General features: G+C 46.2%; 1 protein-coding gene and 2 long non-coding RNA genes across 3 annotated transcripts in view, besides 1 other annotated feature; 1 reads left to right on the top strand and 2 right to left on the bottom strand.

Annotated features, from left to right (window-relative positions):
* Positions 1-8,130: 8,130 nt before the first annotated feature.
* Positions 8,131-17,010, bottom strand: LOC105376356 (uncharacterized). Its single transcript, XR_930566.3, has 3 exons — positions 16,806-17,010; positions 16,274-16,418; positions 8,131-8,476 (listed from the first exon to the last, which is right to left on the bottom strand). It is a non-coding gene; the product is annotated as an uncharacterized LOC105376356 (long non-coding RNA).
* Positions 16,538-17,737: an enhancer, noted in NCBI's record as "P300/CBP strongly-dependent group 1 enhancer chr10:3355722-3356921 (GRCh37/hg19 assembly coordinates)". NCBI's record gives its function as "activates an origin of replication core promoter dependent on BRD2, BRD4, P300/CBP, MED14 and CDK7 cofactors, with strong dependence on P300/CBP, by STARR-seq in HCT116 cells {active_cell/tissue: HCT116}" and the evidence as "EXISTENCE:reporter gene assay evidence [ECO:0000049][PMID:35650434]".
* LOC124902565 (uncharacterized) lies at positions 20,123-23,818 on the bottom strand. The gene is made up of 3 exons (XM_047426137.1): positions 23,731-23,818; positions 21,639-21,742; positions 20,123-21,502 (listed from the first exon to the last, which is right to left on the bottom strand). Exons 1-3 carry the CDS (start codon positions 23,816-23,818, stop codon positions 20,798-20,800), a joined length of 897 nt encoding a protein of 298 aa, XP_047282093.1. The 3' UTR covers positions 20,123-20,797.
* The window catches only part of LOC105376360 (uncharacterized), a 432,070-nt gene continuing 426,933 nt past the window's right edge, over positions 21,703-26,839 (top strand). The window contains exon 1 of the long non-coding RNA NR_131187.1: positions 21,703-21,864. This is a non-coding gene — a long non-coding RNA (uncharacterized LOC105376360). The remainder of the gene's footprint in view (positions 21,865-26,839) is intronic.

The following is a 26,839-nucleotide window of genomic DNA, read 5'->3' on the forward strand; positions in this document are numbered from 1 at the left end:
AAAAGCTGCACGTGGACTCGCTGAATCCCAAACAAAAATTAAGTAAGTAATAAACATTTCTTATTTGTGGAAGGAGGGAGGGGGAGTGATATGGTGTGGATCTTTTCCCCACCCAAATCTCATGTTGAATTGTAATTCCAGTGTTGGAGGTGGGGCCTGGTGGGAGGTGATTGGATCGGAGAGTGGGTCCTTCATGAATGGTTTGGCACCGTCCCCATGGTGCTGCTCTGATGGTGAGTCATGACGAGATCTGGCTGTTGAAAAGTCTGAGCATGTCCCCCTCGCTCTCTCTGGGTCCTGCTCCTGCCATGACAGACACCTGCTCCGGCTTCGCCTTCTGCCAGGGGTAAAAGCTCCTTGAAGCCTCTCCAGAAGCAGAAGCTGCCATGCTTCCCGTATAGCATGGGGAACCATCAGCCAATTCAACCTCTTTTCTTTATCAACTACCCAGTTTCAGGTTTTTTTTTTTTTTTAATAGCAATCCAAGTATGGACTAATACAGAGAGAGAAAGGAAGAAAGTGAAGAAGAGCAAACGTATATCTGCAGCGGTTTTTCTGCATGGCTAAGGTGAGGCTGGGCTCCGTGGCTGTTCAGGCGATTTTGCTGCCTAGAAGGGGATTTGGAGAGGTAAGAAGCCTGCAAGACAGGAGGCAGCAAGAATAGGACGTGGGCGGGGGACACCTACCACACAAAAGGCTCATGTGGTCTTGATAGTCGTGAATATCTTGGATGCTCATGCCGAGCTGTTGAGTGAGATTCCTTATGCCATTCTCCACACTGGAAGGCTGAAGACTAAAGAGGTCATTTGAGCTATTAGGGGCACCTGACTCTCCCATCAAACTGTCATTCCTCTAGACCAGGGGCAGTGGCTCACCCCTGTAATCTCAGCACTTTGGGAGGCCAGTGGATCTCTTGAGCCCAGGAGTTCAAACCAGCCTGGGCAACATAGCAAGATCCCATCTCTACAACAACAACAACAACAACAACAACAACAAAACATACAAAAAAAAATTAGCCAGGCATGGTGGCACACACCTGCAGTCCCATCTTTTTGAGAGGCTGAGGTGGGAGCATGGAATGGGCCTGGCAGGTTGAGGCTGCAGTGAGCTGTGATTGTGCCACTGTACTCCAGTCTGAGCAATAGAGTGAGACCCTGTCTCAAAAAAAAAAAAAAAAGTCATTCTTCCAGACAGCAGAGGTGGAAATGGGAAATAAGACTGTTCAGAAATGCAGCAGACAATTCTTATTCAGCCTCCCTGTAAAGATTTGAAATGGATTGTAACATTGTAACATCGTAGGTGAAAAAGATCAAGCACAAAGCATAAAACATATAAAAAGGGTTTTCATGTTTGCAAAGCTCTGAACAAGTGTAACTTCTTATCTAGCCAGGAGCCAAGAAAGGTATGGCCAATGTTAGGGGCGATGGGTCACAGGGAAAGGCGTCCGTGAAGCCCGAAGCTCTAGGGGGACCTCACAAAGTGGGTGGGTATTTCTGCCTGACTGTTGGAGAGATGGGGGAGGGGGGCGCGGGGGCACTGGGGGTTCCCTGTCCTTCCTCTACATGAGTAAAACGGAGTGTGGGGGAAGCTTTGCTTTGATCTGCTCCATGCACTTCTAATTCCACACCTGTGGTATAAGAACATGCTGCTTTTCACACACCTCACCTTCCTGGTAACACAAAGGGATGGTCAGAGCAGACGCTGGGGTAGCACTTGCCACACGCCAGGCACTGTTGTAAGCATTGACTCCTTTGGTTCTCACAATGCACCCATGAAGTAGGTATTATTACGATCCCCCTTTTACAGATGAGGACACGGAGGCCAGGAGAGGTGACCCACGCTGCTCTAGGCTGCATGGACAGTAGCAAGTGTGGGGCTCACGTTTGCTGCAGAAGGTAACCCCAGTCTGCTGTGTCACAGGCCTCTGCACCTGATCGTAAGGTGTCAGGGTGACATCTCTTCCTCACTCCCTCTGGGCATCTGCCCATCATTCCCATGTGGCTTGCTCTTGGGGTGAGGGTTCTCATCCTGGGAGGTCTGGGTAGCAAGGCCGGTCTCCTGGGCAGCACTCAAGAGCACAGATGCTCTTGCTCAAAGACAGGCAGAAGTGTTTTCACAACAAGACTAGGACCATCTAATTTCAATGTCATTAAATTAATAAAACTCTAGGGGCTGGCCAGCGACAATCTAATTAAACGTTACAGAATGCAGCCCAATTATGTAACACAGTGGGCTGACTTTCAGATAGATTGGTTTTTGATATACATCAGCTGGTTAATCACTTGTCTGCCATATCAGGTAAGCTGGGATTAAACACTCCATCGCACGAAATCTTAAGTATTTCTAGCTTCATGTCAGGGTCTTCTTTTGTGGGCAGAGGTCTGCTGCAAAGATTATTGATGAAGTTTTGATTGCTACCTGCCCAGATATGACCTAGCTAGGCTGGAGGTGGAGGTGTTTGCTTTCCCGAGATACATTAGGTCTGCCTAACAAATATTTATCAAGAGCTTACCATGAGATCATACCACTTCTTTGGCGATCAATTTGGCAATATTTAAACAGAGAAGGTGCACACTTCATGACCCCAAATTGCACTTCTAGGTATGTTATGTCCCCTGGAAAAACTCTCATGCAGGTGCACGATGAGATGCATGGAATAACATTTGCTGTAGCCCTCCTTGTCATGGAGAGGTGCTGGGAATAGCTCAAGCATCCTTGGGCAGCAGAATGGGTACCTTCATTTTGGCATTTTTATATGATGGATTTTTTTTCAGTAGTTAAAATGAGTGAATGAGAGTTTAACATATTAATATGCATAAATCACAGTAAATGTTGAATGAAAAATACAAGACATAAAATTACATTTTTAGAATTATGCCATATGTAGAGTTTAATTTACTATTCAGAGATATGTACTTTCATACACGGTAAAAACCTCAGTGCATTGGTGGAGCTAATGAAATACCAAAGCCATGACAATACATATCTTTGAGGAAGGATAAAATGAAAGAATCAGGGAGATACATATGGGAGATTTGAATTGTAACTACACTGATTTATTTCTTTAATAAGAATGGGTGATGATGCAAAATATTGTTGTAATGATTTTAAAACATGACTGATGTTTTAAGCACCGGATTGTGTGTTTATTAGGTTGCCCTATTTTTTTTGATGACTGAAATAGTTCATAATATAGAAAGAATTTCCTGCAGGCTAAGCATTAGGGCACTCGGCACAGTAAGATGAATGCCTGCAAGCAAGATACAGGAAGCAAGGAAGGAAAAAAGGCTTCACAGAAGTAGGACGTCCTCGTAACTGGTACCACCAGCCGCAACGCAAAGCCAAGTCTGAACATGAATCTTGCCTTTGATACGGGCAGACTTTATACGATAACCTTTCTCTTGAGCAAAATTTACTCCAAAAATAACTCACTTTCCTGAATTTTTCTCTTTGTAGATGTGACATTCGTATGAACTAGCATTTCAAAGTAGGGTGTGTGGAACTTGGGGCAAGTGCAAACCATGGCAGACTCGGAGAGACATCCTTATTAGGAGGTGCTTGGTTGCAAACCTTTTGATTTCATTACTAATTTAAAGCTACTTTGGCTGGCTACATTATCGGAAGGAAAAAAGAAAGAAAAAGCACAGGTGGCTCTGAGCACCTGCTTGCCTTTTGACGGGTGGGAATCTGGGCTTGACTGTGTCGCCGTCCACAGCAGGTTGCTACAGCGGGTTCAGCAATGGCACCTGGTCCATCGTTCCCCGCTCAGGATTTTTCCCCGAGCTGTTTGGAAATCGCTGGATGCTCCATTTTTCAAATTCGCTTCACGTGTAGATGAATTTGGCAAAAGTCAGAGAAACAGCGAGTAGCCAAACAAACGGGAATAATTTAAGCTGCAGATCATAAGCTCCCGGTGGGCAAGGACGAAACCTTCATCTGTTCTCCAAAATGTTCCACGCAGCTCAGTGGGCATTCTCTGATGCTGATTACCACGGCTCGATTGACACGTTTAGCTCCTGTGGGGACAGCGTCGCTCATGATGAAGAGAATCAATCAAACTTACTTTCCTCAAGTTTGCTGGTCCTATCTAGAATGCTTAGACACGTGTCCAAAACAGCACTCTCATTGCAATAACAATTGTATTGTTATTATTGATTATTAGAAATCTGTTATCCGAAGCAATGGAGGCCATACCTTTGTGACGAGGTGACTACACATGGAGGTCCAAAACGATGTTACAAAGCCTTATTTGTTCATTTTTAAAATAAGTATTTTATTTAATGAGGTATGTAGCAAACACCTCTGCTCCTCTCCCATCACACCTCCTCAGCTTACTTTTTTTTTTTTTTTGGGATGGAGTCTCACTCTGTTGCCGAGGCTGGAGTGCAGTGGTACAATCTCAGCTCACTGCAGCCTCCACCTCCTGGTTCAAGTGATTCTCCTACCTCAGTCTCCTGAGTAGCTGGGATTACAGGCGACTGCCACCATGCCTGGCTAATTTTTTTTTATTTTTAATAGAGACGGGGTTTTGCCATGTTGGCCAGGCTTGTCTCGAACTCCTGACCTCAGGTGATCCACCTGCTTCGGCCTCCCAAAGTGCTGGGATTACAGGCGTGAGCCACCGCGCCCGGCCACATGTGATTTTAATTAAGGCATGTGAGTAGCACACAGCTCCACATGCATTCAGCTGCAGGAATCTTACCCCACCTCTAACATGTGCTACAGCTTTCCTTTCTGCTCCAGCCTCTGCTCCAATGTTACTGGAGCACATTAGCCCCACACTAGTACAGACAGGAAGTCCGAGGGAATCTAATTCTTTGATGGTTAATTTTAATGTACCCACTTGACTGGGCTACAGGATGCTCAGATACCTGGCAAAATGTTATTTCTGGGTGTGTCTGGTGTTTCCAGAAAAGACTAGTATTTAGATCAGTTCACTGAGTAAAGAAGACCCCCTCACTTATGTGGGGGGACGTCATCTAGTCCATTGAGGACCCAAATAGAACAAAAAGGTGGCAGAAGAGAGAGTTCTCCCTCTGTGTGCTTGAGCTGGGCCCTCCCTCTTCGGTTCTTGGAGGTCAGTGCTCTTGGTTCTCCGGCCTTTGGGCTTGGACTGGAACTGCACCACCGACTTTCATGGTTCTGTAACTCACAGACAGCAGATTGTGGGACTTCTTGGCCAGGATAACGGCATGAGCCAATTCCCAGAAATCTCTATCTCTAGCCTATTGGTTCTGTTTCTCTGGAGAACCCTAATACAACTTTCTAGGTGAATCCTTAATCAATGGAGAAAAAAAGACAGCAGACAAATGTTCCAGCCTCCCAACCTTCAGATAAACAACTCTGGGGGGTTAAGGCGGGGGCTTCTGTACTTAATTATGTTTATTTCTTTAACTTAATTAGTTGCAGTTGATTCTGACACTGTGGCTTGATGTTCTCTATCTGCTTTGGAAAATTTTCAGAAAATTGTGTCTTTCTTTTGCTCTCCTTCTCCTCTGGGATTCAAGCAATACCCTTTGTCCCTTTATGCCTCATTCTGAGTAGTATTTTTTCTTGACCTACCTTTCAGCTCATGAATTCTCTTTCCATACGGATCTAAGCTGCTGTTACACTTACCCAGTGAGTTCTTTTTTTTTTTTTTTAGATGGAGTCTCGCTCTGTCACCAGGCTGGAGTGCAGTGGCGCAATCTTGGCTCACTGCAACATCTGACTCCCTGGTTCAAGCTATTCTCCTGCCTCAGCCTCCCAAGTAGCTGGGACTACAGGCATGCACCACCACGCCCAGCTAACTTTTTGTATTTTTAATAGAGATGGGGTTTCACCATGTTGGCCAGGATGGTCTTGATCTCTTGACCTCATGATCCACCCACCTCAGCCTCCCAAAGTGCTGGGATTACAGGCATGAGCCACCATGCCTGGCCGTGAGTTCTTAATTTTGGTTATTGTATCTTGTTCTAGAATTTCCATTTGGTTCTTTCTTTATAGTTTCCAGTTCCTTAACGCTTTAAAAAAAGTTTATTAAGTATGTAAATCATATCTGATAACACCATCTAAATCCCTCTCTGTTTCCATTGTCCATTGTTTTACATTTTTTTCTTCTATGTGCTCTATTGTTTTTGATTGAGTGCTAGACATTGTATATGAAAAAACTTTACGTCTAATTAAATGCATAAGATGTTATTACCTTTCTTCAAAGAGAATGCACATTGCTTTCGGCAGTGGCCAGGAGCAGTAGAATTCCTGCAACAACGTAGTCCATTTATGGAACTCATAGGATTTTAAACTGAACTTGGGCTCCTGTGAATGCTGACGTCTTTCTGGCTTATCTTTATTTCCAGGGTTTAGTCTTTTAGGGTTCTTCCTGTTGGCAGACCTAGACTCTGATATTTGCTCTCCTTCCCTAATAAGGTTGCCAAAAGCTTCACTCAGCTTGTAAGCTTCTCAGTCCCCCTTTTGAGAATCAGAGGAACTCCTTGGAGGAAAATGTACTCAAATGTCAGGTTTATAAGTATGGATTTTACATTCTTCTGGATTGTATCTTCATTGCCTTGTTATTCTCCAGTGATTTCAAACACATTAAATATATTTTATTCTCTGTATTCAGTTGTCTGGGTGAGAGACTTGGCAAACATCACCTAATTGTATGAGTTTGCTAAGGCTGCCATAACAAAAACCCATCAGTTAGGCAGCTTAAACAACAGACATTTATTTGATCACAGCTCTGGAGGCTGGAAGTCCAAGATGAAGGTGTTGACAGTTTTGACTTCTTCTGAGGCCCCTCTCCGTGGCCTGTACAGGTCACCTTCTCACTGTTCTCACAGCACCATCTTTTTGCATGTGCTCTGGTGTCTCTGAATGTCCACATTTGACACTAGTCAAACTGGATTAGGGCCCACACCATCAGCCTTATTTTAACTTAATTACCTCTTTAAAGACCCTATCTCTAAATACACTCACATTTGGAGATAGTGGGGGTTACATCTTCAACATATAAATGTTGAGAAGACACAATTTAGCCTACAATACTAGCCTACCATTAATGGGGAGAAGTCCCTTACTTGAAATGCAAAGGAGGTATTGTGTCACCCTCATTGATTTAATTCCATTTTCACAAAACGACTTCTGTGTGTGTGTTTGTGTGTGTGTGTATAGTGCAAGAAGAGAAAAGTATTGCAATTCCTGTGACTATAACTTCTCAGGGTTTCTGTACTCATAAACATTCCTTCTATGTAAGCACATTTTAGTCAAATTTTTGGCAAGATTGACAAATTTGCATAGAGAAAATGAATTCCATCAAGGCAATTTAATTCATTTCTAAACTTTGTGTACCATTTTAGAAAACATGTTTTTATGAAATTATTCTATTTGATTTTTTCCATTTAAATATTTGTCAAAAGTTGAATTCATTGATTCACTTTTTGCCCATATCGAGTTTTACTGATTAGAGCTTCTGCATCATGGATGCTCTGTGCAACCATAATTTTTGAAGAGGCAGCCCTATTTTCCTTCAGGTAACCTGGGAAGCTTTAAAATTGTTTTGAAATTTGATTCTTCTGCTTGTTTTTAGCCAACAGCAAACTTTACCATGTTCAATTTTTATTATTGTCAGTTTTCTTTTTATTTCCTTCAACGATTTAATAGAAGCCTTTGAATAACTAAAGGGAAGACAGAGAGTTTTTATTAACTTCTTAAATAATCCAGGAAAAGTATTGAACAATTTTATGAGACAGAGTACTGAGAAAGAAAGAAAAATACAGAGAAAATGAGAAAAGAGATGGAGGAAGACTGGGGAAGAGAGAGAAAAGGGAGTGAGGTGACAATATTGAGTCTAAACTGTTAGGTAAAAAGCCGTCCTTCAACTGAAACCAGTTCCAAATAACCTTTCTGTATGTCATGAACATATGCATTTAAATAGCTTTGTGGTCGTAAGTAAAGAGACCCTCCACCAATCTTAACTAACTTTGAGATCCTGCTAATCTCTCTGTAGTAGCAGCAGTTTCAGATGACATGCTATGATGGTTTTTTTTTTTTTACTGGAAAAATCAGATATACTTCATTCTTACTTTTTCAATCTTGAATTAGCTACACTGAAATGTGTAGAAATGGGGGTATCTCCATGTTTCCCAAGATCCCCCCCTCTCTGGATGCAAATTCACCGGCTCCTAGACTCACACTTTCGCCTACAGACTTGAGTCCCTTCAAAGGATGCTACAGGCATGTCTGGATTGCGTAGCATGGGCCCAAACCCAGTTCTGCCAGCCTTCTGGACAGTTGCTTTTTGTCATCTGTTGCTTCTCTGCTGTGTTTAGCTGGCTCTATTCTTCACAGGACTCCTCCTTCCCACCAGGCATATCTCCCTCGCTTGGGACATCCATTTGCCAACAGGTCTGTGGACAACTGGGTATTTGCAAGTCCACAGCCACCAGGAGACCAGGGATGCCCCAAATTCCATGATGAAGAGGGGGCTCCAACTTCCCTGTGTTTGTAAGTTATACATGGTTAGTAAGTATCAAAGCAGCAAGATAGCTAACATTTATTGGGTTTAACATATGCCTATTTTATACATATTGTCACATTTAATGCTCATTTGAAAAACCAGTTGACATCCACTGGGCCCCTCCTCACTGACAACTGAATGCTTGGTTCCTGGCACAGCTGCTTCTCTGGAGACAAGTGCCCCTGAAGACTGCAATCCTTCTTGCATCTGGGCTTCTGGGCACCTGCCCACCAACGTGCTAGTGCATTTCCCAGCTAGGGTCACAGCTTCAACTGAAGCTCTGATGCCCACTCCAGTGAAAGCTGTGAGACTGAAGAAAAGCTAACAGCTCACTTCATATTAAACCCTTCACTTTGGAACACAGAACGCTCAAGGATGGGAGGTTCTCTGTTATAGACACAAAAGGTGCCCCAGGGTTGCTCACATGAGTGCTGAACAGCGTTCCTAAGTCAGAGATGCCCATCCAGGAACAGTGGGGATGCCCTGGTGCTATTTGATTCCATGGCACCTCTTTTCTTTTTTCCTGAGAGTTTTGTCTATTTTTAAAATTAAAATTAAAATGATTTGTGTCAAGATTGCTGTAACTTTTGTGTCCCCTGCGAGATTTCAGATACTATGATCCATTGCAAAACTCAGGAGATTAAGATCTGATTCAAAGTGTGAATGACAAAAAAGAAAATTTGAGATGTCAAAAATAATCCTTATGGCTTATTTAGATGTAATTAAATTGCTAAACCAATATATTTCAAGCTTTACACTGGTTGCCAAACCCTATCATGATGAATGTTGGCATCCTTGGTGAATTTTTCTTTTCACAGCATTTTTTTTTTTTTAATTTAAGGAAAAGAAAATCACTGCAGAATATAGCACAGTTACATTATGGCTGATTGGAAGGAACTAAAAGGCTATGTGGAGACTTTGGGGTCTACACCGCTCTGCACCTGTGCTTTGAGGATAGGTTTGATTTTCAATGGTCAATGTTAATGGCCCCTTTATCACATTTTACCTGAAGAATAAATAAAAAAAAATTAGATTTGATTTGACTAGTTCAGAACACACAAGGCGTGATAGAGTTTGATGTCTGTGAGGGCTCTTTCTCTAATCCCTCAAGCGATTTGGGATATGACCAGGGACCTCCAAATCTTCTATATTTTGTGGGGGAGGTAGAATAACTATCTCAAGAAACTTGGTTCTTTAGAAGTTCCCCGTTTTAGAAGCCCTTCTCATCACTTACATTCTCTTTATCTATCCCCCAGCATCTTCGTGTGTGTGTCTGTTACACATGACACTTTCTGTGTCTATCCATTACTGCATTAAGTACACTGTTGCTATATTATCCACTGTCATGCTTCTGTCTCCCAGCACATTGTCTTTGTGAGCAGGGGCTGTTTTTATTAATTTTATGATTCTAGTATCTAACCAGAGATTGACACGTAGCATGCAGTCAGTCTGTGTTGAATATGTGATTCAAAAAATGCCTGCTGAACAAGTATATGAATCTATCTTTTTCTAAGGAAAAATATTTGAATTTACTCACAAAAGATATCCTGTTCTTAATACTTGGACCTCTTCCACAATGTATGTGCATTCCTTCAGCAAATGTTTATCAAACACTTACTAAGCACCAGACAAAATGCTAGAAGCTGGCACCAAGGTGATGGAGAGGTCTTTGGTGCTGACTCTGGCAAGAGCAGTTTGCATCTTGTGGTCAAGACAATAGCCACGACACACAAATTGTCTGCATGGACATGTGAGCACACGGTGAGTAAATGGAGACAGTGAGTTTGCAAGATGCTCGGAACGCATTTAGATAAGAGCAGAAGAAGGGAGCTTGGGTAGTGGCTATAGAAAGCATGAAGTCAGAAGGGGTTTTTATTTATTGTGAAGTGGGAGAAATTAGAACTTATTTAAACTGTGTTGGAAATGAGGAAACAGTGCACATACTATTTCTATGTTTCCTATCAACAGGAAACTTGATAAAATGCAGAGATTTAGGGTAGAGTGAGGCATGGATTTAAAGATGTGTGGGTAATGTTGATCTTTCTTTTTTTTTTCTGAGACAGGATCTCACTCTGTTGCCCAGGCTGGAGTGCAGTGGAACAATCATAGCTCACTGCAAACTCTGCCTCTTGGGTTCAGGTGATCCTTCCACTCAGCCTCCTGAGTAGTTGGGACCACAGATACACCCACCACATCCAACTATTTTTTTTTTTTTTTGTATTTTTTTGTAGAGATGGGGTTTTGCCATGTTGCCTGGGCTGGTCCTGAACTCCTGGACTCATGCAATACACTCACCTTGGTCTCCCAAAGTGCTGGGATTACAGGCATGAGCCACTGCAACGGGCCCAATATCAATGTCTTAAAATTATTTCTGTGATAAACAGGATAACAGACTAGAATGATTATGAGTACAAAGTCTGGCTGACAGAGGGCAGGACAGAAGGTCAAAGACTGTCCATACAATGACTGACTTTTTCCTCAGGGAAGTAGAACCTCCGATAAGAATAGGAGTGAAGAGAGCTGAAGCTGGAGACCACTGAATAAATACATTGAAAAGACCAACAAATACACTGAAAAGACAATAGGCCAAGGGAATTTAAAATATTAGCAAGAGTGTCTTAATTGAAAAGCCACATAATCCTGCTTAGATTGGGAAAGTGAGCTCAGATAAAGGGGACTAAAAGAAAGGGATGGGGTGGAAAATGGACTGGCACCTCTGGGAAAAATGAATAGCTGTGTGGTCATCACAAAGCTGGAAGGACAGGTAAGTGTGACCAGAGCATGGCATTTCAGCAAAGGTGAATTTTGATCTGGTGTTTGACTATGAGAATCAGTGGATGAAGTCATGTTCAAGAGCAAGTAAATGTAAATGGAGTGAAGAGAACAAGGAACTGAGGTCAAGCTGTTGGAGGAGTTATCAGCATGGAAACTGAGCTCATTCAACCTTGTGACTGGACTTGTAGTAGCGAATGTGTCTATGAAAGAGAAGTCCAGCCAACCACTCGTGAAAAGGAGGGACTGAGCAGTAGGGATGCAGTGGCGAGAAGGTGGATTGAGCCATACACCATGTTGCCAGAGGAGCAGAGTGTTCCCAGGAGGGCAGAGAAGCCACGTCTAAATGTGACACTACCGAATAAAGTTGACAACTCCATGTTTTCTTCCTAAAGTAGGTAGGTGGGTGCAGTAGACTGAACTGTGTCTCCCTAATTCATACACTGAAAACTTAACCCCCAATGGGATGGTATTTGGAGATGGGTCTGCAGGAGGATGGGCTCCTGGTTGGCCTTTGCTAATCCAGCTCTCCCCCACCCTGCTTGTAGTTCTCAGGATAACTGTGGAATGAGCATCTGAGATGAGAAGGAACTGTCTGAAACAGCCTGGGCTCTTTTCTTTCTCCTAGAACAGGGTGTCCTGCGTTGCTTTGGCTCAGTGAGCCCAATTCCCCAGGGTATAAAACCCAGGACAAGAAGATGGATATCTGCTGCCAGGTCCCCCAGCTGCCGTCCAAGTGGGGCACATGCAAGTGTTACTGCATCCACCCTGGGGGGCTCCCCTGAGGCTTGGGGGCACAGCTAGCCATGGATTGTAGGCTGCTATTATTCTTGCTGCCTGTGTGTGAGTGATAAATGTGCTTTGCCTGATGAGCTGCATGAATATTCTGTCCTACCCGACTCATACTCTGGGCAATGGGTTTATGTACAGCCGTCTCCCAGATCTGGTGAGGCATTTAGAGTCTTGCCAGAACTGAGGCTCTGACTGTAAACATCATCTGAAAAGGTGTTTAGAGACCTGCTAGATCTAGAAGCCTTAGCAGAAACTAGAAAGGTGTTTTGAGTCCTCCCCTGGGATTTATACCTGGTGGACAGTGAGTCCCTCCTAGGACTTGATACCAGTGCATAGTGTATTTCTGCTTCCAGGATCCTTTGGGAGATAGCTAGGTTTACGTGAGGCCATGAGGCTGGGCTTCCATGATGGAATTAGTGCCCTTAAAAGAAGAGACACCAGAGCTGGGTGTGGTGGCTCACGCCTGTAATCCCAGCACTTTGGGAGGCTGGGGGGAGGGGGGTGAATCACCTGAGGTCAGGAGTTCGAGACCATCCTGGCCAACATGGTGAAACCCTGCCTCTACTAAAAATACAAAAAATCAGCTGGGTGTGGTGGTGTGCGCCTGTAGTCCCAGCTACTTGGGAGGCTGCAGCAAAAGAATCACTTGAACCCAGGAGGTGGAGGTTGCAGTGAGCCGAGATCACGCCACTGCACTCCAGCCTGGTGACAGAGCAAGACTCTGTCTTAAAAAAAAAAAAAAAAAAGAGACACCAGAGAACTTTAACCAAACGGGTGGGAACCTTGATTGATGTTGGACTTCCAGCCTCCATGGCTTTGAGAAAATAAGTATCCGTTTTTGAAGTCACTCAGTTTATGCCTGTTGCTTAGCCACTCAGGCTATTTTCTATGATGGTTCGATCTGGCTGATACAATGCATGAGCTTTGTATTGCAGCATCTCCAAGACAATTATTTGTGGAATCTTAATTGATAGCTCAGTTGTTTCATAATGCTACAGGGCCTCTGAGAAGGAGTAGGGAACCCTGGATTCTTAGGTTATGTTCATGTTGAGTGCGCCGTGCCCACCAGTTACCTGTCAAGTTACATACTCACTGGTTGCACTAACTCTGTTCTATAAATAGCAAGGCAGAAAGAGGGAGGGAAGAAGAGCAATTAGGAGAGGAAAGGGAAAAAATAATTATCGCGGAGTCAGAATAACTAGCTCCAGTCTCAGGTGCACTGTGATGCACCCTTCCCAGCTGTTATGAAAAATAATACTCACCACCCACCTACATTGCAGGTCGTTGTGAAAGTGTATTAGAAATAATGACTTTGCTCTTCTCTGATAAAGGGGTTGTGTTTGCACAAAAACGATATTAGCTTAATCATGGTAAAATTGGTTTTTGCTTTCGACAAGGCCAGAATTGTTAAAGGTAGAAAAGTCTGTGTGGAATAAATTATGCAATTAAGTTCCTCTTAACATGACTGAAAAGAACCCAATTTATACCTCCAGAATGGAATAGGCAGACTCTGGAAATAAATCCCTGAGCCACAAGATGCTGTTCTATTTTTGCAAGATGCACAGATAGCTGGAGCTCTGTGGGGCTGCCTGTGAGACACTCATTTGAAGGCTCTCTTCTCACTGTCTGAAGACGGGGCAGAGAAAAAGCACCAAGCCTTTCAAAATGACTGCTCTCTCCTTTCCCTAGGGCTTTTCCCCTGGAACACCACTTGTGCTGATTTTTGGGGAAAACTTAAAGCAGCTTAACTGGCATGTCCCGCAGCTGCTCAGGTAAAGCCCTAGGCAGACATGAAGCCAACCATCATTAGCAGTCGGGATCTGAAGAAGGCCTTCTGCAAAAATATCCCTTTCCATCTGCCATGATCTGGGGATGCTTTGAATGAGAACTTCCCTCCAGCAGGTGGCTGGTAAATTGCTCATCTTTACCTGAGAAGACAGCAGTTTGGCTTACGAGTCTTTCTGAATTTCTCTCGCTCCATTGTCCCTGAGGAGCTTTAGGAAGGAACTCCATTCCATAGAGAACACTGAGTTTTTGCCTTCAAGGAGTGTGCAGTATATCTGAGGAAATCACGTACACATGATTGCAAGTACCCCTCATTTATATTTTGATTGTCTTTAGGTCAAGGACCATGTCATAAAACTCTGGGACCCTGCAGAGCCCGCAGCTTGGCCTGGCAGGGAGCATGTCCTGCAACGCTCTTGGTTATTCGGTCCCCAACACCTTCTATCTTATCTTCCACTGTTTCACTCCAGCCTTAGAGCTGTGCTGGAGCGGATTCTTCCGCTGGAAACGTCCTTTCCCCAGATGCTTTAGGATTCACTCTCTCTGCTCCTTCAGGCTTTTGTTTAAAGGTCACCTTGTCTAACGTTTAAAGTTACAACTTGTGCTCCAGCACCAGCTTCATCCCTCCCATCTCATTTCCGTGTTACTTAGCACTTTAGACCATACGACATAATTTACTTTTTATATCTATCATTTATTGACTATCTGCCCCATCAGAATGCAAGCTCCATAAGACAGGAGACTTTCCCTCTTCTGTTTATTGGTGTATCTCACCCATCTAGAACAGTGCCCAGCACAATGCAGGCCCCAATAAACATCTGTCGAGTACATGGATGAGCAAATGAATGCGTCTATATCTATACTGATAAGGAAACTATTTTAACAGATTTTAATTTTCACAGCAACTCTGCGGGATGGTTTCTATGAGCTCGGTTTTTCAGATCAGGAAACAGAGTCTGAGGTCAGTGCTTGCCCCCAAACAAGCTGATATAAACGGTAGGGCTTAGAGTTAAACTTTTATCTTTGTATTTTCAAAAAGTGAGTTTGAAACCAGGTTATTAGGACATTTTCGTTTTTTGAATGTGTCTAATTTATTGAGTTTAAATATGAAAAAAAGAAGCAAGTTTTGGTAGCTAATAAAAATCCATGGCCTACAGTGAGTTTTTAATTCTATTGCTGCTAGAATTCTGATGCTTCCATTTCAGATTCAAAGCATTTTTATATATTTTCTAGACCAGAGGCTCCCTCCCTCACTTGGTGAAGTCAACCTGCTCTTCAGAATATTATCTGTTCTCTCCAACAAACAAAAGAAATATGAAGGCCCATTTTCAAAAATTAAGCCAAAAGAAATATTCACACTGTATTTAGGGAATCCATAAATAATTCACTAGTTTTAGTCTTTTTTAAAATAATTCTGCCTTTATGGAAATTAAGTAATTACCAAATGTCAAATAGATCTTTGCATAGTTTACGGTAGATTCATTTTTACTAATTGCTGCATCTTCTGAAAGGCTCCTACCAAACGCATTTTCTACTAAATTACCTAAAAGTAAAGTTTGTTTGGACAATATCTACATTTTGTATTTTTCAAAGAAACAATTTACACCTAAGCTTAACTCTTGTAAATTGTTAAAAATCGCCTAGGTTGTTTGTTTTACAATGGCCTAGAGCCTCTGGAAAATACTCTTGAAAACACGGATGACCTTTTCAGCAGCACGGAGGGACAGCACCAGGTGCAAACCCAAAGTCTGCTCACTTAAAGCCAGCGCGCTTCGCTGAAGGCGAGTCTCAATTATCTTCCTCCGAATTGCTCAGGTCGGCAAACTAAAGAGGGCTGCAAAGCTTGGGAATTGGTTGGTCCAAGCATAACAATAGAGATTCAGAAAACTCTGAGAAGGGCGGTTCTGAAGCATAACATACTGAGAAGCAATTAAAGTAGAACGAAATGTTGGCGTCTCAACAAGGAGATGCAAAAATAAGTGAACAAATGTCCTGCTGGGGAGATGGGAAGGTGTGGTTCCATGGCACTTAGCTATGTGTTTGTCATGGAGCCCCTTCCTTCTGCAAGCTCTGATTTGGTATTCCAACATGTGAAGCAGAGACACGGTGAAGAATTGTTTCATTTCTCCTTCCCTCCCTTCCTCTCTCCCTGGCTTCATCTCCCTCTCCTTCCCTTCCTTTCTTCTTTGCATTTTTTCTTTGTTTTGTCTGTCTTTGCTTTTTCTTTCCTTCCCCTTTTTTCCTTCTAGAATAAGGTATTTTATATACTCAGGCTTCAAAAATTACCTTGTTATTCGCCATCCACTGATAACAGGGCTTATGGAAGATGAACATAGGGTTATATCAGCCTCCAGATTCTGCCTGCAGTGTATTCTGTTTGCACTATATCAAGAAAGTTCTGCTTCACATAGGTAAGTAGTTACTTACATACGCAATCATATGGTGGGTCCCCTCAGCTTAAGTCAGCACACATCACACACATCCATGTACCCCCCAAGAAGAGCTGCAAACATCCCAAATCAATGTTCTGTCTCAAGAGTTCAGAGTGGAGATAGAGGTAGAAAGAAAACACCTGTAGTTCAAACAAAAATAAATTAATATGGTGATATGAGAGCAGAAATGCACTTGGCATTCCCCAATGTGTGAGCACAGGACATAATACACCCCAGCTTGCCACTCAAGTGTGGCTGTGTGTTAGTTTACCATTAAGAAGTTAAAATATCTTGTAAATATACAAATAAGTGATTGAAGAAATAAATAAATGAGGAGAGTAGACAAGCCTTCCTTCCAAATAACAATTCCAATTTCTTCCAAATAAGAATTCCAAATAACAAATGTGGAAGGAATGAAGGAAATGGGAAAATCACCTTCAGACCTGCATAGTAATGATGTCATGGGCCAGAAACCCTGAAGAATAATAAATTCATGGCAAAGCTTTAAGGAGGAGCTGGGTACTTACATAGCCCCAAGCAACTCCTCCAAATACTTAAACAGTACTGGGATGGTTTCCACAGGGCCCCACACTCCTGGTACGCCTTCCATCAGAGAGTGGAGCTCAGTCTCCCCATACTGAGACCTGAGTGTGAGCTGAACTGGGTGACTCTGTGGACAGCGACTTCCCAGAATGAAGAAAGGAGAATGGTGACTCAGCAGAGTTAGGGAAGGGGAGGGTGACTCAGCAGAGTGAGGAAAGGGGGCAGTGACTTCACAGAGTGAGGGAAGGGGACAGTGACTTCACAGAGTGAGGGAAGGGGGCAGTGACTTCACAGAGGGAAGAGGAGGGTGACTTCACAGAGTGAGGGAAGGGGGCAGTGACTTCACAGAGTGAGGGAAGGGGACAGTGACTTCACAGAGTGAGGAAAGGGACAGTGACTTCACAGAGTGAGGGAAGGGGGCAGTGACTTCACAGAGTGAGGGAAGGGGGCAGTGACTTCACAGAGTGAGGGAAGAGGAGGGTGACTTCACAGAGTGAGGGAAGGGGACAGTGACTTCAAAGAGTGAGGGAAGAGGAGGGTGACTTCACAGAGTGAGGGAAGAGGAGGGTGACTTCAAAGAGTGAGGGAAGGGATGGTGACTCACAGAGTGAGGGAAGGGGACAGTGACTTCACAGAGTGAGGAAAGGGACAGTGACTTCACAGAGTGAGGGAAGGGGACAGTGACTTCACAGAGTGAGGGAAGGGGGCAGTGACTTCACAGAGTGAGGGAAGGGGGCAGTGACTTCACAGAGTGAGGGAAGAGGAGGGTGACTTCACAGAGTGAGGGAAGGGGACAGTGACTTCACAGAGGGAAGAGGAGGGTGACTTCACAGAGTGAGGGAAGGGGGCAGTGACTTCACAGAGTGAGGGAAGGGGACAGTGACTTCAAAGAGTGAGGGAAGAGGAGGGTGACTTCACAGAGTGAGGGAAGGGGGCAGTGACTTCACAGAGTGAGGGAAGAGGAGGGTGACTTCAAAGAGTGAGGGAAGGGGAGGGTGACTTCACAGAGTGAGGGAAGGGACAGTGACTTCAGAGTGAGGGAAGGGGAGGGTGACTCACAGAGAGAGGGAAGGGACAGTGACTTCACAGAGTGAGGGAAGGGACAGTGACTTCACAGAGTGAGGGAAGAGGACGGTGACTTCACAGAGTGAGGGAAGGGACGGTGACTTCACAGAGTGAGGGAAGGGACGGTGACTTCACAGAGTGAGGGAAGGGGACGGTGACTTCACAGAGTGAGGGAAGGGGACGGTGACTTCACAGAGTGAGGGAAGGGGACGGTGACTTCACAGAGTGAGGGAAGGGGACGGTGACTTCACAGAGTGAGGGAAGGGGACGGTGACTTCACAGAGTGAGGGAAGGGACGGTGACTTCACAGAGTGAGGGAAGGGGACGGTGACTTCACAGAGTGAGGGAAGGGACGGTGACTTCACAGAGTGAGGGAAGGGTAGCATGACTTCACAGAGTGAGGGAAGACTGAACAGGACAGAAGAGCCGGGGTGATGGATTTAGATGTGGGATCCTTGATTGGTCTCTGAGACATAAGAAGGACGTTAGTGAAAAAACAGATAAAATCCTCAAGTCTGCAGTTTGGGGCATGTGGAAATGTCAGTTTCTCAGGTTTGATAAAGGGACCCTGGTTACGTCAGTGTTAATATCAGGGAATCCTGGGGTATCAGCATAACCAGCTCTGTCCTATGATTTTTATTATTATTATTTTTTCAGAAGGAGTCTTGCTCTGTTGCCCAGGCTGGAGTGCAGTGTCACAATCTCGGCTCACTGCAAGCTCCGCCTCCCGAGTTCACGCCATTCTCCTACCTCAGCCTCCCGAGTAGCTGGGACTACAGGTGCCTGCCACCGCACCCGGCTGCTCTGTCCTATTATTTTTAACTCTTCCCTATACCTAAAATTATTTCAAAATGAAAAGATTTAGAAATGATGTAGAAGCAAACAGTAGTAGAACTGCTGCTGCGTCCTCACAGAACATCTGTATTTAATAAAGTCTAGTTTATGATTTGCTGGGGTACCTGAAAGACCCTAGCCAGGTGTCAGAGAGAGTTGGATTTGAATTCTTATTAAAATCATTCTTTGTAATGGAAATTTGGGCAAGTTATTTGACTTCTAAACTAAAATACCTCATATGTAAAGTAATTTTATTAAAGATTACTGTAAAGATTAAATGAGAAAAATATATAAAGCATTAAGTACATAAAAAGAATAGTTTCTTCTATCTCCTTATTTGTGTCTAAATGAAAACCAAAATATGCAGTTAATTATATGGGTATATTAGCCAAAAGAGATACGAAAACCTAGGTAGAAGAAAGGGACATTTAAATAATTTTAAAGCTATAATTTCTGATAAAGATCTATATCAAATACATCATTCCTTTTTCTTTCACTTGGTTTATTAAGTTCATCTAGGGTTTATCTACTCGAGTGAAGTAAAATAAAATATTCAATTAGTACAGTGAATACAGGTGACCAGCCAGATGATCCAAACGACAATCTGGTTTTTTCTCATTGGCTCCTTTTTCATACATAAAATTTTCCAAATAATTTGATTTTCTTATCAGTTTGACTTATGCAAATACAGACTTAACGTGGCTTACTTATGACTATATTGTATTTACAGTTGTTCCTAATGGCTTTCTAAGATCTCTTTTTCTGTGTTTATTATTAGGGCCAATTCTTGAAATCATTTACTTCTTTCCACACTGACAGAATCCTGCATGTCTTCAATTTTCAGTTACTAACTTTTGAGAGAGGTTTTTCTATGACATAGGAAACATAGTTGACTTTTGATTATTTTATTTTTGATTATTTTATGGTGGCTTGACCTGGTCTTCAATATCTTCCCTTTATATGTCTTATATTTTAAAATATAATAATAATCTCATTTGCATTTAATTAATTTTTTCTAATTTTTTTTGAATAAGTTTACGGCTGGGATTTCATGGCAAAAGGCTTAGCATATTTTGATCTTTTTTTTGTTTGTTTGTTTTTGAGACAGGGTCTCACTGTTGCCCTGCCTGGAGTGCAGTGGTGTGAACAGAGCAGGCTGTAGCTTTGACTTTCTGGACTCAGGTGATCCTCTCACCTCAGCCTCTCAAGTAGCTGGGACTAGAGGTGCGTGCCACCTTGCCTGGCTAATTTTTTTAATTGTTATTTTTTCGTAGAGACAGGGTTTCACCATGTTGCCCAGCCTGGTTCAAACTCCTGGGATCAAATAATCCCCTGCCTCGGTCTCCCAAAGTGCTGGAATCACAGGCACGAGCTACTGCACCAGGGCTATTTTAAGTGGAAATGAGATCCAAGTTAATTCCAAGTTTATTTCCAAGGTCAAGGATTGAAGGATGATACGTGGTAAATTCACGTGAGAGTTGGATATGGCCTTTGGAAGGAGCTCTCACATGCCCCAGGAATAACTGGACATGGAGTAGGGACAGAGTGGTGTCAGTGACAGGAGTGAGCCCCAGGGAGAGAATCCTTTTTGTTTTAAACCACAGAAGACACTTCAGTAAGAGAAGGTAGAAACAAGAAGCAAGTGGGGGATTGACGTGCTTGGATCCCACAAACGAGTTTAAAAGTATTAGAAGCAGGCTAGACACGGTGGCTCACCCTGTAATCCCAGCACTTTGGGAGGCCAAGGCGGGTGGATTACCTGAGGTCAGGAGTTCGAGGACAGCCTGGCCAACACGGAGAAACCCCATGTCTACTAATAAAACAAATAAAATAAAATAAACTGGGTGTGGTGGCGCGCATCTGTAATTCCAGCTACTCAGAGGCTGAGGCATGAGAATCGCTTGAGCCCAAGCGGTGGAGGTTGCAGTGAGCCGGGATTGTGCCATTGCACTCCAGCCTGGGTGACAGAGTGAAACTTGGTCTCAAAAAAAAGTATTAGAAGCAGATGCAAAATTCAGAATATGAAGCCAGGAGCCTGGAAAGCAAGAACGAGAGAGTTGATATGAAGTGGTGAGAGTCAGAAGCTGCTCAGGAGGACTGCTGTATTTCCCGGCAGCCTCTGCGTGGGCAGCAGCGGGGTAGGCGGCCGAGTCTCCCAGGCCACGGACCTGTATTTCCCGGCAGCCTCTGCGTGGGCAGCAGCGGGGTAGGCGGCCGAGTCTCCCAGGCCACGGACCTGTATTTCCCGGCAGCCTCTGCGTGGGCAGCAGCGGGGTAGGCGGCCGAGTCTCCCGGGCCAGGGACCTGTATTTCCCGGCAACCTCTGCGTGGGCAGCAGCGGGGTAGGCGGCCGAGTCTCCCGGGCCACGGACCTGTATTTCCCGGCAACCTCTGCGTGGGCAGCAGCGGGATAGGCGGCCGAGTCTCCCGGGCCACGGACCTGTATTTCCCGGCAGCCTCTGTGTGGGCAGCAGCGGCATAGGCGGCCGAGTCTCCCGGGCCACGGACCTGTATTTCCAGGCAGCCTCTGCAGTGGGCAGCAGCGGGGTAGGTGGCCGAGTCTCCCGGGCCACGGACCTGTATTTCCCTGCAGCCTCTGTGTGGGCAGCAGCGGGATAGGCGGCCGAGTCTCCCGGGCCACGGACCTGTATTTCCAGGCAGCCTCTGCAGTGGGCAGCAGCGGGGTAGGTGGCCGAGTCTCCCGGGCCACGGACCTGTATTTCCCGGCAGCCTCTGTGTGGGCAGCAGCGGGATAGGCGGCCGAGTCTCCCGGGCCACGGACCTGTATTTCCCGGCAGCCTCTGTGTGGGCAGCAGCGGGATAGGCGGCCCAGTCTCCCGGGCCACGGACCTGTATTTCCCTGCAGCCTCTGTGTGGGCAGCAGCGGGATAGGCGGCCGAGTCTCCCGGGCCACGGACCTGTATTTCCCGGCAGCCTCTGCAGTGGGCAGCAGCGGGATAGGCGGCCGAGTTTCCCAGGCCCCGGACGGGACAGATTGGATCGCACCTGTCACAGCCACGCTCTGGAATAGCGAGGGCCCAGCGTCCCCAGGCCCAGGGTGAGGAGAATCCCTGCCACACTGTGTCTGGAATTGGTGGGTTCTTGGTCTCACTGACTTCAAGAATGAAGCCGCGGACCCTCACGGTGAGTGTTACAGTTCTTAAAGGTGGCGCGTCCAGAGTTTGTTCCTTCTGATGTTCGGATGTATTCGGAGTTGCTTCCTTCTGGTGGGTTTGTGGTCTCACTGGATGAGGAGTGAAGCTGCGGGCCCTCGCAGCGAGTGTTACAGTTCTTAAGGCGGCGCGTCTGGAGCTGTTCGTTCCTCCCGGTGGGTTCGTGGTCTTGCTGGCTCAGGAGTGAAGCTGCAGACCTTCATGGTGTTACAGCTCTTAAAGTGGCATGTCTGGAGTTGCTCGTTCTTCCTGGTGGGTTCGTGGTCTTGCTGACTTCAGGAGTGAAGCTGCAGACCTTCGGGGTGAGTGTTACAGCTCTTAAGGCGGCGCGTCTGGAGTTGTTTGTTCCTCCCGGTGGGTTCGTGGTCTCTCTGGCTTCAGGAGTGAAGCTGCAGACCTTCGTGGTGTTACAGCTCATAAAGGCAGTGTAGACCCGAAGAGTGAGCAGCAGCAAGATTTATTGCAAAGAGTGAAAGAACAAAGCTTCCACAGTGTGGAAGGGGACCTGAGCTGGTTGCCATGGCTGGTTCGGGCAGCCTGCTTTTATTCTCTTACCTGGCCCCACCCACATCCTGCTGATTGGTCCATTTTACAGAGAGCTGATTGGTCTGTTTTGACAGGGTGCTGATTGGTGCGTTTACAATCCCTGAGTTAGACACAAAAGTTCTCCAGGTCCCCACTAGATTAGCTAGATACAGAGTGTCTGTTGGTGTATTTACAAACCCTGAGCTAGACACAGAGTGCTGATTGGTGCATTTACAAACCTTGAGCTAGATACAGAGTGCCGATTGGTGCATTCATAATCCCTTAGCTAGACATAAAGGTTCTCCAAGTCCCCATTAGACTCAGGAGCCCAGCTGGCTTCACCCAGTGGATCCCACACCTGGGCTGCAGGTGGAGCTGCCTGCCAGTCCCAGGCCGTGCGCCCGCACTCCTTAGCCCTTGGGCGGTTGATGGGACCGGGCGCCGTGGAGCAGTGGGCAGCGCTCGTCGGGGAGGCTGGGGCCGCGCAGGAGTGCACGGCAGGGGAGTTGGGGGGAGACTCAGGCATGGCAGGCTGCAGGTCCCCAGCCCTGCCCCACGGGGAGGCAGTCAAGGCCTGGAGAGAAATGGAGCCCAGCGCCAGTGGGCTAGCACTGCTGGGGGACCCGGCGCACCCTCTGCACCTGCTGGCCTGGGTGCTAAGCCCCTCACTGCCCTGGGCAGGCAGGGCCGGCCGGCCGGCCAGCCGCTCAGAGTGTGGGCCCGCCAAGCCCACGCCCACCCAGAACTCGAGCTGGCCCGCAAGCGCCACATGCAGCCCTGGTTACTGCCCATGCCTCTCCCTCCACACCTCCCGGCAAGCCGAGGGAGCCGGCTCCGGCCTCGGCCAGCCCAGAGAAGGGCTCCCACGGTGCGGCGGCGGGCTGAAGGGCTCCTCAAGCGCGGCCAGAATGGGTGCCAACACCGAAGAGGCACCGAGAGCGAGCGAGGGCTGCCAGCATGCTGTCACCTCTCAACACCAGGCAGTTGCTGAGGCGGGAGGGAAACTTCTATGCACGTTCTCTCAGGCTCTGTCCTTTCCAGGGCACAAAGCACCCGGAGTGGAGCGGGAGGTGGTTAAGCGAGAGAGTCCTGCAGCAACGTGGTCAGGCTTCTCTTTCCAGACTGTGGGGTCCAAGGAGCTGTCTGTGGAATTAGGGTGGGCTCAGGAGGCTTCAGGAAGCTGCGCAAAGAGGATCGGGTGCCCAAGGTGGAGTCACGGGAGTCAAAGATCTGTGGGGTCAATAGTGCCCTCGACCTTGTGTGGTTCCAAGGAGCAATCTTCTACATTACAACGCGGTCATTTAATATGTACTAAACTCAACACACAGCTGGCGGGCTGCCTGGTCAGAGATGACTTTTCCCGTGTCTGGCGGTGGGCTGTACATGAAGGGCACTGTCATTTCTCAGGGAAGGATGTTCTGATGAATCTCTTGGGCAGGCTGCGATTCCCCAGGTACCCCCGACTTCTGCAGTGGAAGTGGCGCTTGGTGATGCACATGACCTTTGGGGACAGAAATGTTGGTTGCTGACAAATGTCATGTTCTGGGTGGAAGAATGCAGTGAACGGATGTTGACCAACTTTCGGTGGTGACGTAGGTAGACCGGTCATGTTACTTGTTGGACAAGATGGAAGCTCCATCAGTCACGAGTTTGAGAGTGAGGTGATGCCGTTTGCATCTGGGTGTGGGGAGACATCACCAGTGTCCTACTGAACTAAGACTTTAATTTTCTCTAATTGGAACTCAGGAGGCTGTATTGGGTGAGATAGAGAAGAACTTCCTTTCTGGAGAAGGTGGTGGTGGTATGGAGATGGGGACTGATGCAGGGAAGAGAGTTTGCCTGTTGATGTGAAATTCAATCCCTCAGGGCTGATGGGTGTGGACACGGGTGTGGACACGGGAGGGGTGAGTGCTGTGCATAGCAGACTCTCAACGTCCGGAGCACTAGCTGGCTGAGGACCACACGGTCCGCTGCAGTAGAAAGCTGTCTCTCTGCTCTAAAGATGAGCGCTGACATGGCAGGGCGGGGCCACACCTACAGATTATCAAGACCTCAGGAGTTCGGGTTTTTAAAAGTGGAAATTCCCCCAATTAAAAAAAATGGCATATATTTCAATTAAAATACTGCATGGGCCAAAGAAAACACAACGGCCAGCCAGACCTGGTTCCTGTGCCACTGCTTTGCTGTCTGTGATGGTGAATATTCAGCGTCAAGTTGATTGGATTGAAGGATGCAAAGTATTGATTCTGGGTGTGTCTGTGGGGGTGTTGCCAAAAGAGATTAACATTTAAGTCAGTGGGCTGGGAAAGGCAGACCCACCCTCAGTCTGGGTGGGCACCATCTAATCAGCTGCCAGCATGGCTAGGATAAAAGCAGGCAGAGGAATGTGGAAGGACTGGACAGGCTGAGTCTTCCGGCCTCCATCTTTCTTCCGTGCTGGATGCTTCCTCCCCTTGAACACTGGACTCCAAGTTCTTCAGCTTTGGGCTCTTGAACTTACACCAGTGGTTTGCCAGGGGCTGTTGGGCCTTCAGCAACAGACTGAAGGCTGCACTATCGGCTTCCCTACTTTAGAGGTCTTGGGACTCAAACTGGCTTCCTTACTCCTCAGCTTGCAGACGGCCTATTGTGGGACTTCACCTTGTGATCATGTGAGTCAATACTCCTTAATAAACTCCCTTCATATATACATCTATCCTATGAGTCCTGTCCCTCTAGAGAGTACTAATACACTGTCTCTGGGTGGAATCATCCAGTGATGTGGGCAACCCCATAGCTCTCAAGGTGCTGAGGTGGGCAGAGGCAGGAGCAGCACTGGGGACAGCTGTGGGCAGGAGCTTGGGGCTGTGTTCCATGGCTCTGCAGGCCTCTAGTGCCTGCCTGTGGCCTAGTGCTGGCATCATTAGAACTCAGGCACCCGTAGGTTGAATGAAGAATAGGCAACCACCAGAATTTGTCTGTAATGACCACCAGAGCTGGGAGGAGCCAAGCTTTCTCATGTCAGGAGATGAAGCCATGCACTGTGTTAGGGAGCTGAGGTTTGGATATTCACCCCTCCCAAATTCACGCAAAATTCCCAACACGGCAGTATTGAGAGGTGGGCCTTTAAGAGGTGATTGGATTATGAGGTGTCTGTCTTGAAGAATGGATTAATGCCTTCAAGGGTTAATGGATTAATCCTCTCATGGATTAGTGGGTAATCACAGGAGAGGGGCTGTGTCTCTACAGGAAGAGGAGAGAGCTGGGCCAGCATGCTCAGCACCTCACCATGAGATGACCCCTCAGGACTCTGTGGAGAGCCCCCACCAGTAAGAGGGCCTTTGCCAGATGCGGCCACTTGACCCTGAACTTCACGGCCTTCGGGATTGGGAGAAATAAATTCATTTAAAAAAAAAATTACCCAGTTTCAGGTATTTTGTTATATGCAACAGATAACCAAACTGAGACATAGGATGTGTCCAGAGCTGAGTTGATACACTGGCTCAGAAGCATTTTTGAAAGTTCTGAGTGGCAGCATTTGCCAGTCTCCATGGTGTAAACGTGCCCACCATCGCTAACTCAGGCTGCCAGCGCGACGGCAGAGAGTGGTGCTGGGAGGGGGTGCCACGCTGACCTCCCGGGAGCCCCTGTGAGCCGCTTCTACCAGTGCCCGGATGTGTTTGTTGGGATTCTGCGCCCTTTGAGTGTCTCGGGGCTCTCCTCGAGGTGCTGCCGGGCACTGCCGGGGCATGATTTCTTCGCAGGAACTAGGGGAGCAAGAGCAGGAGCGAGCTGCCTGTGAATAAAAAAAAGGAGGCCAGGTGCGGTGGCTCACGCCTGTAATCCCAGCACTTTGGGAGGCCGAGGCGGGCGGATCACCTGACGTCAGGAATTCGTAGACCAGCCTGGCCAACAGGGTGAAACCCCATCTCTACTAAAAACACAAAAAATTAGCCAGGCGTGGTGGCGCGCGCCTGTAATTCCAGCTACTCCTGAGGCTGAGGCAGGAGAATGGCTTGAACCCAGGAGGCGGAGCTTGTAGTGAGCCAAGATCGCGCCACTGCACTCCAGCCTGGGTGACAGAGCAAGACTGTCTCAAAAAAAAAAAAAAAAAAGAGGAAAATGAAGAAAGGAGAATCCAGGCAAATATCTGAAAGACTCATAATTTTTTTACACTGTCCTTCCCAAATCCATGCCCACCTGGGACCTCGGAGTGTGACCTTGTTTGGAAACAGGGTCTTTGTCGATCCCATTAGTTAAATTAAGATGAGGTCACACTGGATTAGGGTGGCTCTTAATCCAATGCTGGGTATCCTTGTGAGAATGTCACATCTTAAAGGGAACAAATTCTCTACTCTAAAAAACAAAGTTGAGAAAAAAGGCTTTAAGAGCCCTTATAGAAGGCTACTGTAACTTGTACATATTATTAGCATCTTTGTGGA

This window comes from Homo sapiens, chromosome 10 (genome assembly GCF_000001405.40).
Source record: "Homo sapiens chromosome 10, GRCh38.p14 Primary Assembly".
Classification (NCBI taxonomy): Eukaryota; Metazoa; Chordata; class Mammalia; order Primates; family Hominidae; genus Homo; species Homo sapiens.